This window comes from Homo sapiens, chromosome 22 (genome assembly GCF_000001405.40).
Source record: "Homo sapiens chromosome 22, GRCh38.p14 Primary Assembly".
Taxonomy (NCBI): Eukaryota; Metazoa; Chordata; class Mammalia; order Primates; family Hominidae; genus Homo; species Homo sapiens.
In genome coordinates, this window is record NC_000022.11 from 20,907,310 (window position 1) to 20,920,339 (window position 13,030).

At 48.5% G+C, this 13,030-nt stretch overlaps 1 protein-coding gene across 2 annotated transcripts in view, besides 3 other annotated features; it reads left to right on the forward strand.

Moving 5' to 3' along the window:
- Positions 2,666-2,845: an enhancer, noted in NCBI's record as "active region_18688". NCBI's record gives its function as "activates an Ori minimal core promoter by ATAC-STARR-seq in GM12878 lymphoblastoid cells {active_cell/tissue: GM12878}" and the evidence as "EXISTENCE:reporter gene assay evidence [ECO:0000049][PMID:35858748]".
- Positions 10,015-10,464: a silencer, noted in NCBI's record as "silent region_13502". NCBI's record gives its function as "represses an Ori minimal core promoter by ATAC-STARR-seq in GM12878 lymphoblastoid cells {active_cell/tissue: GM12878}" and the evidence as "EXISTENCE:reporter gene assay evidence [ECO:0000049][PMID:35858748]".
- CRKL (CRK like proto-oncogene, adaptor protein) overlaps positions 10,098-13,030 on the forward strand; it is a 36,341-nt gene continuing 33,408 nt past the window's right edge. For both annotated transcript variants that reach the window (NR_156180.2, NM_005207.4), the window contains exon 1: positions 10,098-10,936. Coding sequence is in view for 1 of the 2 variants with exons in the window: in NM_005207.4 (NP_005198.1) it covers positions 10,626-10,936 (311 nt within the window). In the remaining variant the exon portion in view is untranslated. The remainder of the gene's footprint in view (positions 10,937-13,030) is intronic.
- Positions 10,755-10,814: an enhancer, noted in NCBI's record as "active region_18689". NCBI's record gives its function as "activates an Ori minimal core promoter by ATAC-STARR-seq in GM12878 lymphoblastoid cells {active_cell/tissue: GM12878}" and the evidence as "EXISTENCE:reporter gene assay evidence [ECO:0000049][PMID:35858748]".

Sequence of the window (13,030 nt, forward strand, 5' to 3'; positions counted from 1 at the left end):
GAAGTTGTGGTAGTAGGTTGGGCACGGTGGCTCACGCCTGTAATCCTAGCACTTTGGGAGGCCAAGGCGGGCAGATCACGAGGTCAGGAGTTTGAGACCAGCTTGACCAACATGGTCAAACCCTGTCTCTACTAAAAATACAAATATTAGCCAGGCGTGGTGGCAGGCGCCTGTAATCCCAGCTACTCAGGAGGCTGAGGCAGGAGAATCGCTTGAGCATGGGAGGCGGAGGTTGCAGTGAGCCAAGATTGCGCCACTGCACTCCAGCCTCGGCGACAGGGCAAGACTCCGTCTCAAAAAAACAAAAAAGAATTTGTGGTAGTGACCTTAAAAAAGTTCTGGGTCACACTGGGAGCAACACAAAAGGCACACATTCAATATAGAAGATTTTTGACCTAAAGTTGGCAAACAATGGCCCATGGGCCAAATCTTGCCCATCAACTCTACCTTTATGGCTTGTGGGCAAAGAGTGTTTTTTTGTTTGTTTGTTTGTTTTGAGATGGAGTTTTGCTCTTGTTGCCCAGGCTGGAGTGCAATGGCACGATCTTGGCTCACCGCAACCTCTGCCTCCCGGGTTCAAGCAATTTTCCTGCCTCAGCCTCCCAAGTAGCTGGGATTACAGGCATGTGCCACCACGCCTGGCTACTTTTGTATTTTTAGTAGAGACAGGGTTTCTCCATGTTGATCAAGCTGGTCTCACCTCAGGTGATCCACCCACCTCAGCCTCCCAAAGTGTTGGGCGTGAGCCACCGCACCCAGTCAAGAGTGGTTTTTACATCTTTAAACGGTTGGGGGGAAAATCAAAAGAATATCTCATGATACATGAAGATTATGTGAAATTCAAATTTCAGGGCCCATAAATAAAGTTTTCCTGGAATATAGCTGTACCTAAACCTATTGGGACAAAGTCACATACAGTGTGGCTGCTTTCCCACTACAATGGCAGAGTTGAGTAGTTGTGGCAGACACGTACCTGGCACTCTCATCCCTTTGTGCTGCTGCTCAGTGCACTACAAGTTGGAGTGCTGCAATTATAATTCAGCAGTATTTTGGCCAGGCGTGGTGGCACACGCCTGTAATCCCAGCACTTTGGGAGGCTGAGGTGGGCAGATCACAAGGTCAGGAGTTCGAGACCAGCCTGATCAACATGGTGAAACCCCATCTCTACTAAAAATACAAAAATTAGCCAGGTGTGGTGGTGGGTGCCTGTAGTCCCAGCTACTCAGGAGGCCGAGGTAGAGGAATCACTTGAACCTGGGAGGCGGAGGTTGCCGTGAGCCGAGATCATGCCACTGCACTCCAGCCTGGCGACAGAGCAAGACTCCTTCTCAAAAAAAAAAAAAAAAAAAATTGCCAATGCACGTTCTTGTATCAAAAGAAGAAAAGTATAATTTTCTTTTTTTGAGACAGGGTCTCGCTGTCTCAATGCCCAAGCTGGAGTGCCGTGGTGTTTAATCACAGCTAACTGCAGCCTTGACCTCCTGGGCTCAAGCAATTCTCCTACCTCAGCCTCCTGAGTAGCTGGGGCCACTATGCACAGCTAATTTTTAAAAATTTTTTGTGGAAATGGGGTCTTGCTATGTTGCCCAGGCTGGTCTCAAACTCCTGACCTCAAGTGATCCTCCTGCCCCAGCCTCCCAAAGTGCTGCGATTACAGGCATGAGCCACCACACCAGGCCAGAAAAGTAGACTTTGGATGTCACACTTTCAAGGCAAAGTGTAGATTATTTTGTTACTGTATACAATTGCAAGGTCGGGGGCGCAGTGGCTCACACCTGTAATCCCAGCTACTTGGGAGGCTGAGGCAGAAGAATCACTTGAACCCGGGAGACGGAGGTTGCAGTAAGCCGAGATTGCACCACTGCACTCCAGCCTGGGTGACAAGAGTAAAACTGTCTCAAAAAAAAAAAAAGCATACAATTGCGAAGTATTGTGTTTATTATGCAGTGACACCGTATCTGTGCTAAAAGAATAAAATGTATGTTAACTTAGACTAAGCAGTCATCACAGTATTACCAATTTATAGGAAAGCAACAGTCAGAAAAATTGGAAAATTTTGGCTAGGTGCTGTGGCTCATGCCTGTAATCCCAACACTTTGGGAGGCTGAGGCAGGAGAACTGCTTGAGCCCAGGAATTTGAGACCATCCTGGGTAACACAGCAAGACCTCATCACTACCAAAAAAAAAAAAAAATTGGCCAGGAGTGGTGGCATGTGCCTGTGCTCCCAGCTGCTTGGGAAGCTGAGGTGGGAAGACTGCCTCAGCCCAGGAAGTCGTGGCTGCAGTGAGCTGTGATCATGCCACCGCACTCCAGCCTGGGTGACAAAGCAAAACCCGTCTCAGAAAAAGGAAAAAAAAAAAAAAAGAAAGAAATAAAGAAAAAAAATAGGAAAATTTCAAATGGAACATCTTATCAGAATTTCTGCACAAAAATGAAAAATGAGGCTGGGTGTGGTAGCTCATGCTTATAATCCCAACACTTTGGGAGGCCAAGGTGGGAGGATCACTTGAGCCCAGGAGTTTGAGACCAGACTGGGCAACATAGCAAGACCCTGCCTGTACAAAAAAAAATTTTTTAATTAGGCAGGTGTGGTGGCACATGCCTATAGTACCAGCTACTTGGGAGGCTGAGGTGGGAGAATCACTTGAGCCCTGGAGGTAGAGGCTGCAGTGAGCTGTGATCATGCCACTGCACTCCAACTTGGGTGCCAGAGTGAAACCCTGTTTCAAAAAAAAAAAAGAAAAGAAAAAATGAAAATGAAACTGCAAAAGTAAGTTTCCAAGGGGCTTATGTGTTAGCCAAAGAAAGCTGCTTACTGGCGGTGAGTTCATTAAATTGTGTTTGTCGTAGCAGAAGAAAAGTGTCCAAAGAAAAATGATTTTGAATGATTTTCCTTGATTATCAACGACTTGATAGATGTTACCATTAGTGCTCAATTGTTGTTTATTTGAGGTGCCAATGCTGAATATAAAATCACTGACAAATACATTTCTCTTGAATAGTGTGCATGGAATAACTATAGGCAATATTCTGAAAAGTTGGCCGGGTATGGTGGCTCATGCTTGTAATCCTAACACTTTGGGAGGCCAAGGACAGCAGACTGCTTGAGCCCAGGAATTCGAGACCAGCCTGGGCAACACAGTGGGCCCTCATCTCTAATAGACTTAACCTCTGCCAGGCACAGTGGCTCATGCCTGTAATCCAGCACTTTTGGAGGCTGACGCAGGCAGATCACCTGAGGTCGGGAGTTCGAGACCAGCCTGGCCAACAGGGTGAAACGCTGTCTCTACTACAAATGCAAAAATTAGCCAGACGTGTTGGCACACACCTGTCATTCCAGCTGCTCGGGAAGCTGAGGCATGAGAGTCGCTTGAGCCTGGGAGGCAGAGGTTGCACTGAGCCAAGATCATGCCACTGCACTCCAGCCTGGGTGACAGAGTGAGACTCTGTCTCAAAAATAAATAAATAGGCCGGGTGTGGTGGCTCACACCTGTAATCCCAGCACTTTGGGAGGCCGAGGCAGGCGGATCACCTGAGGTCAGGAGTTCAAGACCAGCCTGCCCAACATGGTGAAACCCAGTGTCTACAAAAATACAAAAATTAGCCATGCATGTTGGCGCGCGCCTGTAATCCCAGCTACTCAGGAGGCTGAGGCAGGAAAATCACTTGAACCCAGGAGGCAGAGGTTGCAGTGAGCCGAGATCATGCCATTGCACTCTAGCCTGGGCGACAGAGCGAGACTCCATCTCAAAAAAACAAACAAACAATAACAAAATAAATAAATAAAAGACTTGAACTCAGACCAGACGTGATGACCAGCTGAATTTAAGCATATTAGTCAGCAGAGGAAAAGAAACTAACCAGGATTCCCTCAGTAATGGCAAGTGAACAGGTAAGAGCCCAGCACCAAATGCCTGCCTTGCAGAGTTTTTACATATATATGTGTGTGTGTGTGTGTGCATTATATATATACGTATTCTTTTTAAGTTGAGAAAACAATAATTCAGTATAACCCAAAGTGGAATCTGCTAAAATGGGTAACAAGTGATGGTGGTAATCATGTATGAAGCAGAAAAAGGCTTAGTTGAGCAAATTTATAAAGCCCTGGAAAATATAAGGTGTTTAGAGCCTATGGTTATTTATGACATTATTCATCTGAAACTAATCCATGATAAAAATATATATATATTTTTGAGACAGAGTCTCTCTCAGTCACCCAGGCTGGCGTGCAGTGGCGCAATCTCAGTTCACTGCAACCTCTGCCTCCCAGGTTCAAGTGATTCTCCTGCCTCAGCCCCCTGAGTAGCTGGGACTACAGGCGCACGCCACCATGCCTCGCTAATTTTTCTATTTTTAGTAGAGATGGGGTTTCACCACGCTGGTCTCAAACTCCTGACCTCAGGTGAGCTGCCTGCCTTGGCCTCCCAAAGTGCTGGGATTACAGGTGTGAGCCACCACACCCAGCCCTTTTTTTTTTTTTTTTTGAGACACAGTCTCACTGTGTCACCCAGGCTAGAATACAGTGGCATGATCTGGGGCTCACTGCAGCTTCAACCTCCTAGGCTCAAGCACTCCTCCTGACTCAGACTTCCAAAGTGTTGTGTTTACAGGCATGAGCCACCACACGTGGCAACTGTAGCTATTATTTTTTGATACGGAGTCTCACTCTGTCACCAAGGCTGGAGTGCATTGGTGCGATCTCGGCTCACTGCAACCTCCACCTCCTGGGCTCAAGCGATTCTCCTGCCTCAGCCTTCCCAGTAGCTGGGACTACAGGCATGTGCCACCATGCCTGGTCTTTAGTAGAGACGGGGTTTCACCATGTTGGCCAGGCTGGTCTTGAACTCCTGACCTCAGCTGATCTGCCTATCTCGGCCTCCCAAAGTGTTGGGATTACAGGCATGAGCCACCGCAGCTGGTCTGGCGATTGTAATTATTTTAGAAGACAAGAGTTTAAGTATAATACCATCTAGAAACCCTGGGAATATGCAAGCTAAGGAAGAATCAAAATCTATATGTTACAGCTTTTTTTTTTTTTTTTTTGAGACGGAGTCTGGCTCTATCGCCCAGGCTGGAGTGCAGTGGTGCAATCTCGGCTCACTGCAAGCTCCGCCTCCCGGGTTCACGCCATTCTCCTGCCTCAGCCTCCCGAGTAGCGGGGACTACAGGCGCCTGCCACCATGCCCGGCTAATTTTTTGTATTTTTAGTAGAGATGGGTTTTCACCATGTTAGCCAGGATAGTCTTGATCTCCTTACATCGTGATCCACCCACCTCGGCCTCCAAAAGTGCTGGGATTACAGGCATGAGCCACTGCGCCCGGCCTATTACAGCTTTTTTAATGGTTTCTTTCTGTTTCTCTACTCATTGCTGTTTTGCTATCTCAGCATTTAGTAACTTTTTTTGGAATGTTTTTGACAGGGTCTTGCTCTGTTGCCTAGGCTGAGGTGCAGTGGCACAATCAAGGCTTACTGCAGCCTCGACCTCCTGGGCTCAGATGATCCCCCAACCTCAGCCTCCTGAGTAGCTGGGACTTGAACACCTGGGCTCAAGTGATCTACCCACCTTGGCCTCCCAAAGTGCTGGGATTACAGGCATGAGCCAACATGCCCAGCCTGGAAAGTTTATTTTATGCTTGTCTCAACTGTGCTAAGGAAAAATAAAGGAAAGTATCTTTTACAAAAATTTTATTATGACAAATTCCAAACATACATAAAAGTATTATAGAATATAATTAACCCTACCCTCGCATCATGTCACCTGGTTTCAATAATTATCAATCTCACATGGCCATTCTTGTTTCACTTTTATCTAACCCACACCTTATTCCCCTCTGGAGTATTTAGAAGCAAAATGAGAGATATTTGGTTCTTTTTTTTTTTTTTTTTTTGAGATGGTGTCTCACTCTGTCTCCCAGGCTGGAGGGTAGTGGCACAATCTTGGCTCACTGCAACCTCCGCCTCCCAGGTTCAAGCTATTCTCCTGTCTCAGCCTCCTAAGTAGCTGGGACTACAGGTGAGCGCCACCATGCTCAGCTAATTTTGGTATTTTTAGTAGAGACAGGGTTTCACTATGTTGGCCAGACTGGTCTTGAACTCCTCACCTCAAGTGATCTGCCCACCTCAGCCTTGCAAAGTGCTGGGATTACAGGTGTGAACCACTGTGCCCGGACTTTACTTTTTTCTAAAAAGAGAGTTTATTTAAGGAAAATAGAGAGCAGAGAGTTTATTTTTACAATGTTTTTACATTGACTGGGTGCCGTGGCTCACTCCTGTAATCCCAGCACTTTGGGAGGCCAAGGTGGGCGGGTTGCGAGGTCAGGAGTTCAAGACCAGCCTGGCCAATATGTTGAAACCTGGTCTCTACTAAAAAATACAAAAATTAGCCAGGTGTTGTGGCATGCGCCTGTAGTCCCAGCTACTCAGGAGGCTGAGGCAGGAAGAATCACTTGAACCAGGGAGGCGGAGGTTGCAGTGAGCCGAGATCACGCCACTGCACTCTAGCCTGAGCAACAGAGTGAGACTCTGTCTCGAAAAAAAGAATGTTTTTACTTTTTTTAAAATAGAGATGGGGTTTTGCAATGTTGTCCAGGCTGGTCTCTAACTCCTGGCCTCAAAGGATCCACCTGCTTCACCTTCCCAAAATGCTGGGATTACAGGTGTGAGCCACTGCACCTGGCCAAGAGCAGATAGTTTATATAGACAGATAGTACACCCTGAAAAGATGAGGCAAAGAGGGCTGAGGCAAAGAGGGCTGCTGAAAAGGGAGTGAGCCAGCAGCTAATGTTCAATTATCATTTTTCTCTGGCTTCCTCCCATCTTTATCCATCTACATTCAAAAACCATACATTAAGTATGTATCGGCTGGGCGTGGTGGCTCACACCTGTAATCCGAGCACTTTGGGAGGCCAAGGCGGGCAGATTATGAGGTCAGGAGTTCGAGACCAGCCTGGCTAACATGGTGAAACCCTATCTCTACTAAAAATACAAAAATTAGTCAGGCATGGTGGCGCGTGCCTGTAATCCCAACTACTCAGGAGGCTGAAGCAGGAGAATCACTTGAATCCAGAAGGCAGAGGTTGCAGTGAGCCGAGATTGCACCACTACACTCCAGCCTGGGCAGCAGAATGAGACCCCATCTCAAAAAAAAAAAAAAGTATGTATTATGTGCTAGGTACTGGGAATAGAAAAAATAATATATAGCAGGCTGCCCTCAAGATGCTCAGATTGGGATGAGAAAAATATTTATGAACAATTACAATAGAATGTGATAAAAATTAATTTAGGCTGTGCCCACAGTGTATACATAGTAATCAGAGAGTATGGTCAGTTTTGGTTCTGCTTTTAGAATATGTGTTTGGAGTCACCAGAGATGTGACCCCTAAATGCTTCATGCTGATTATTAGCCTACTAAAGGAAAAACTATGGAGAGGTGAAGGACGCTCTGCATTTAGAGGGCAGAGAGCGGGTTGCTGTGGCTCACATCTGTAATCCTAGCTACTTTGGAGGCTGAGGCAGGAGGACTACTTGAGCCTAGGAATTTGAGACGAGAGTCAGCAACAGAGAGACATGTCTTTAAAAACAAAACAAAACCCAAAAAGCCTAATTCAGTCAAAGCATGGGTAGAAGCCAGATTAAGAAGGTTGAGCAGCTGGGTGGGTGGCTCACGTCTGTAATCCCAACACTTTGGGAGGCCAAGCTGGGAGGATTACCTGAGCCCAGCAGTTCCAGATCAGCTTGGGCAATACAGTGAGACCTCATCTCTACAAAAAATTTAAAAATTAAAAAATCACCACTAGGATTACAGGCGGTGGCTCACGCCTGTAATCCCAGCACTTTGGGAGGCTGAGGCAGGAGGATCATGAGGTCAGGAGTTCAAGACCAGCCTGGCGAACATGGTGAAACCCTGTCTCTACTAAAAATACAAAAATTAGCTGGGCATGGTGGTGCATGCCTGTAATCAATCCCACCTACTTGGCAGGCTGAGGCAGGAGAATTGCTTGAACCTGGACCTGGGAGGCAGAGGTTGCAGTGAGCTGAGATCACGCCACTGCACTCCTCCAGCCTGGGCTACAGAGCTAGAGTCCGTATCAGAATAAAAAAAAAAAAAAAGGGCTGGGCAAGGAGCAGGTGATTATGAAGTGGTAAATCTGACAGTGAAAAGTAGTTAGAAAACAAAGTGGAGATTTTTCTCTCCACCCTCACCCACCCACTGAGGGTGTATGCTCAGGGTTTTAGGGTATAGAGGTAGAGGCCCAGGGAATGACTGAATAATAATAATGGAAGACTCATATGATGCTTACTATGTGCCAGGTACTATTCTAAGCACTTTGCATATATTAACTTGTTTCATACATAGCTGGGCGGGGTGGCTCACATCTTGGCTGAGGGGGAGGATTGTTTGAGCTCAAAAGTCTGAGACGAGCCTGGGCAACATGGTGAGATTTCGTCTCTATTAAAAATCAAAGGCCGGGCGCGGTGGCTCACGCCTGTAATCCCAGCACTTTGGGAGGCCGAGGCGGGCGGATCACGAGGTCAGGAGATCGAGACCATCCCGGCTAAAACGGTGAAACCCCGTCTCTACTAAAAATACAAAAAATTAGCCGGGCGTAGTGGCGGGCGCCTGTAGTCCCAGCTACTTGGGAGGCTGAGGCAGGAGAATGGCGTGAACCCGGGAGGCGGAGCTTGCAGTGAGCCGAGATCCCGCCACTGCACTCCAGCCTGGGCGACAGAGCGAGACTCCGTCTCAAAAAAAAAAAAAAAAAAAAAAAAATCAAAAAAATTAGCTGGGCATGGCAGCGCGAGCCTGTAGTCCCAACTACTCGGAAGGCTGAGGTGGGAGGATCCCTTGAGATGGGGAAATCAAGGCTGCAGTGAGCCATGATAGTTCCACTGCACTCCAGCCTGGGTGACAGAAGGAGAACCTGTCTCAAAAACAAACAAAATAAAACAAACAGGCTGGGCACGGTGGCTCACGCCTGTAATCCTAGCACTTTGGGAAGCTGAGGCAGGCAGATCACCTGAGGTCAGGAGTTTGAGACCAGCCTGGCCAACATGGTGAAACCCCGTTTCTACTAAAAATACAAAAATTAGCAGGGCATGGCGGCGGACAGCTGTAATCCCAGCTACTCGGGAGGCTGAGGCAGGAGAATCGCTTGAACCCGGGAGGCGGAGGTTGCAGTGAGCCGAGATCGCGCCCCTGCACTCCAACCTGGTGACAGAGCGAGACTCCGTCGAAAGAAGGAAAGGAAAGGGAAAGGGAAAGGAAAGGGAAAGGGAAAGGAAAGGAAGAGAGAGAGAGAGAGAAAGAAAAGAAAAGAAAAAAGAAAAGAAAGAAAGAAAGAAAGAAAGAAAGAAAGAAAGAAAGAAAGAAAGAAAACAAACAAAAACAAATAGGGATTAATAAATAGGCAGAAGCAGGCATAATCCGGGGCAGGGGAAGCCTCGGGGCCACGCCCGAGAGGCATTTGTATTTTACTTTCAGCAGTTCAGAGCCCATGATAGCCAGGTTACCCACTTGTGGACTTCCTTGACCACTTAATTGAGTCAATCTAACCCTCACCTTCTCTCTCCTCTCACTCCATTTAGCGGGTCACGTAGCCACTAGGGCTTCCTTAGCCTATCAGGCCACCTGGGGACTGAGTCATTCAGTCAGTCACCTATCTGGTGGTCACATCTGCCCCTGGGCTCATCCTTTTACTGGGCCACCTCGGCCCATCGGGACCTGTCAGTCCTTGACCTCCCTCAGGCCCCTAGGCTGGCCAGGTCGCCTCAGTGCCACGCCTCCCTGGCCCGCGATTCAGCCTGCACGTTACGCTTTGTTCCCAGAAGCAGGTTTTCGAAACGCGGTTCCCTCTCGGCTCCAGCTGTTTTCCTGCCAGCGCTGGGAGACCCGGCAGCCGCAGCGCCCCCAGCGGCGCGCAGCGGCCCAGGAAGAGAGTGCCTACCGCCGGCGCCTCTTCAGCCTCCTCCTGGAACGCGGGAGCGGGCGCGACCAGCGCCCACCCTGATCGTCGCGACGGTGCTCCTGATTGGCTGCGCTGTGTGACGTAACGGGAGGGCCCCGGCGGCCGCCGGGAGCCGGGGCCCAGCGCGTGCGCAGACGGAGCGCGCTGAGCGGAGGGGGAGGTGGCTGCCGCTTCTCCCGCGTCCGCCATTTTGTTGCTGTGGCTATTGGGAACAAGCTGGGCAAAAGCACCCCGGAGGCGCGACGCTCCTTCGAGTTCGGTGCCTCGTGTGACGGCGGGGGTCGGTGAAGACCCGTCGAGCTGCGGCGCCGGCGCGTTCCAGGCCGGGAGTCACTGGAGGCACCCCTGGGACGCCGAGCAGCCCGAGAACCCCGGGGTGGCCTCCGCTGCGGCTCGGGTTTGCCTGCCCCGACCCCCCGGCTCTGCCGTGCATTCCCGGGCGGCTCTCTCCGTGTGGCGGCCCCGGAGCAGGCGGGCGGCGTCGGAGGATGCTGCGGGCCCGGAGCCGAGAGGAAAGTGCTGGCCCAGCCCTCTGAGCGCTCCTCGAGGTGTGCGAGAGGCCCTTCCTCGGCCCCAAAGCCGTCTGCCGGGCTAAGGCGTGCAGAGCAGGCGAGGACAGCCGCCGCCCCTACCGCCGCAGAGTCCCCGGTCCAACACCATGTCCTCCGCCAGGTTCGACTCCTCGGACCGCTCCGCCTGGTATATGGGGCCGGTGTCTCGCCAGGAGGCGCAGACCCGGCTCCAGGGCCAGCGCCACGGTATGTTCCTCGTCCGCGATTCTTCCACCTGCCCTGGGGACTATGTGCTGTCGGTGTCCGAGAACTCGCGGGTCTCCCACTACATCATCAACTCGCTGCCCAACCGCCGTTTTAAGATCGGGGACCAGGAATTTGACCATTTGCCGGCCCTGCTGGAGTTTTACAAGATCCACTACCTGGACACCACCACCCTCATCGAGCCTGCGCCCAGGTACGCGAGAGCCCTCCCCGACCGCGGAGGAAGGTCGAGAACCGGGTCTGTCGAAGAGTGCTTGTATAGGGGGGTGGGGCGCGCTTGAACCCATATTCCCCGCATTCTGAACCAAATTATTTTCCAGAAGGCCTTCCTAACAGAAAGCTAGTGTCAGGATCTGGGTCACTGGATAAGAGGATGCGTTTTTTTTTTTTCCCTCTCACGAGGCTGTTTCTCAATGTGAAGAGGATGCGTTTTGAATGTTTAACGGTGGTTGCATAGTTAAAATGCACGCTTTTTGCCTTTCGTGACTTTCTCTGGGTGTAATACTGATGCAGGGATTTGTTGGTTTTTCTAAAAACCTCTTTTTTTTTTTTTTTTTTGAGACGGAGTCTCGCTGTGTCGCCAGGCTGGAGTGCAGTGGTGCGATCTCGGCTCACTGCAACCTCCGCCTCCCGGGTTCAAGCGATTCTCCTGCCTTAGCCTCCCGAGTAGCTGGGACTACTGGCTCACGCCACCACACCCAGCTAATTTTTGTATTTTTAGTAGAGACGGTGTTTCACCATGTTGGCCTGGATGGTCTCGATCTCTTGCCCTCGTGATCCGCCTGCCTCGGTCTCCCAAAATGCTGGGATTACAGGCGTGAGCCACCACACCCGGCCAAAAACCGTTTTTAAGCCATAGACTTCTTTGAGAATCTGAAGATAGCCGAGCACTCACCACCCCACCCCCACCCCCACCCCCACCCCTCCCCGCCAAAGGCACGTACACACAAGTTTGCACACCATCCCGGGTGCTTGTACTCCCTCCAGATCTCTGAACTCCAGGTTAAGAACTCCAGGACTGCAGCCTTTGGAACAGTCAAAAAAATGAAAATGCTTTAGCGTTTAGAAACAAAAAAACCTTTAACCAAAATATCAGAACTGTATATTGATACTGTGGTGCCAAGTTTGAAGCAGGCCAGACACCACCACTTTTATAGTACGTTAATTACAAAGATAAGAGAAGGTGCATTGGCTTCAGCGAGGATATTTTTTGGAAAATTTATTGCATATTTTCTCCCCGAGGACCATTAGTAGGCCAGAGATCAGTCTGGTTAATTTCCAAGGTGGAATTAGGCTAGAATGTTATTAAGGAAAATTTTTGAATGACACTTAGTTGTATCCTAGTTCAATTTCAGACATGCTTTTTGTGTTAAGTCTAATGATTTTGTATTTCTTATTTTAAAATTAACGCAAAGTGACCAAGCATTCTCTTTTCCAAGTGAAATACGTTATTTTAATTGATTAGTTGCTTTAATTTGCCTTAAGCGTTTTAGCAGAGATTTGCTTTTATTGTTGTGTTTGCCCTGTAACACTGATTTTATCAGAGGTTTCTTTTATTTAAATTATCCCAAATTTGAGTTGAAAAGTTGCCTAGAATTTTTAAAGTAACAAACTGGCCAGTTCGTTTCTTAAACATCTATTTTAAAAGGACTGGGTGTTGATACAGTTTTTCCAGGGTTAGATGTTTATGACTTTATGGATTTGTCGACCGGGTATTACTCTAAACTTTAAACATTAAAAGCTATTATAATTGAGGACACCAACTGTTTGCATAGTGGGATAGAGATAGAAAAAAAAAAGCCATGACAGTATAATGACTACAAGATTAACTACTGAACTAAATGGACTTTAAAAGTGGGGAGAAAGTGATTATAAATCAAATACTGTATAACAAAGACCAGGACACCAAGAATCTGATTGGTGAAACCTGCGGTTCCTGGCAGATGCTGGTAGTTGCAGTCAACTTTGAGCACAATATAATTCCAATTTAAGGAGTTGAGAATCTTAGAACCCACTGTAGTGAGATTTGTAATATGACTGAATAAATTCTTCCTCTCGTTTGTGAGCGTGAATTATATAATTAATACCAGGCATTCATTAAGCCATGCATATGCTTATGTTGAGGTCATGAGTACTAATAATACAGCTGTTTCAAAAAGCAAGTTAATGGGCGGGTGTGGTAGCTCACGCCAGTAATCCCAGCACTTTGGGAAGCCAAGCCGGGCGAATCACGAGGTCAGGAGTTCAAGACCATCTTGGCCAACATGGTGAAACCCCGTCTCTGCTA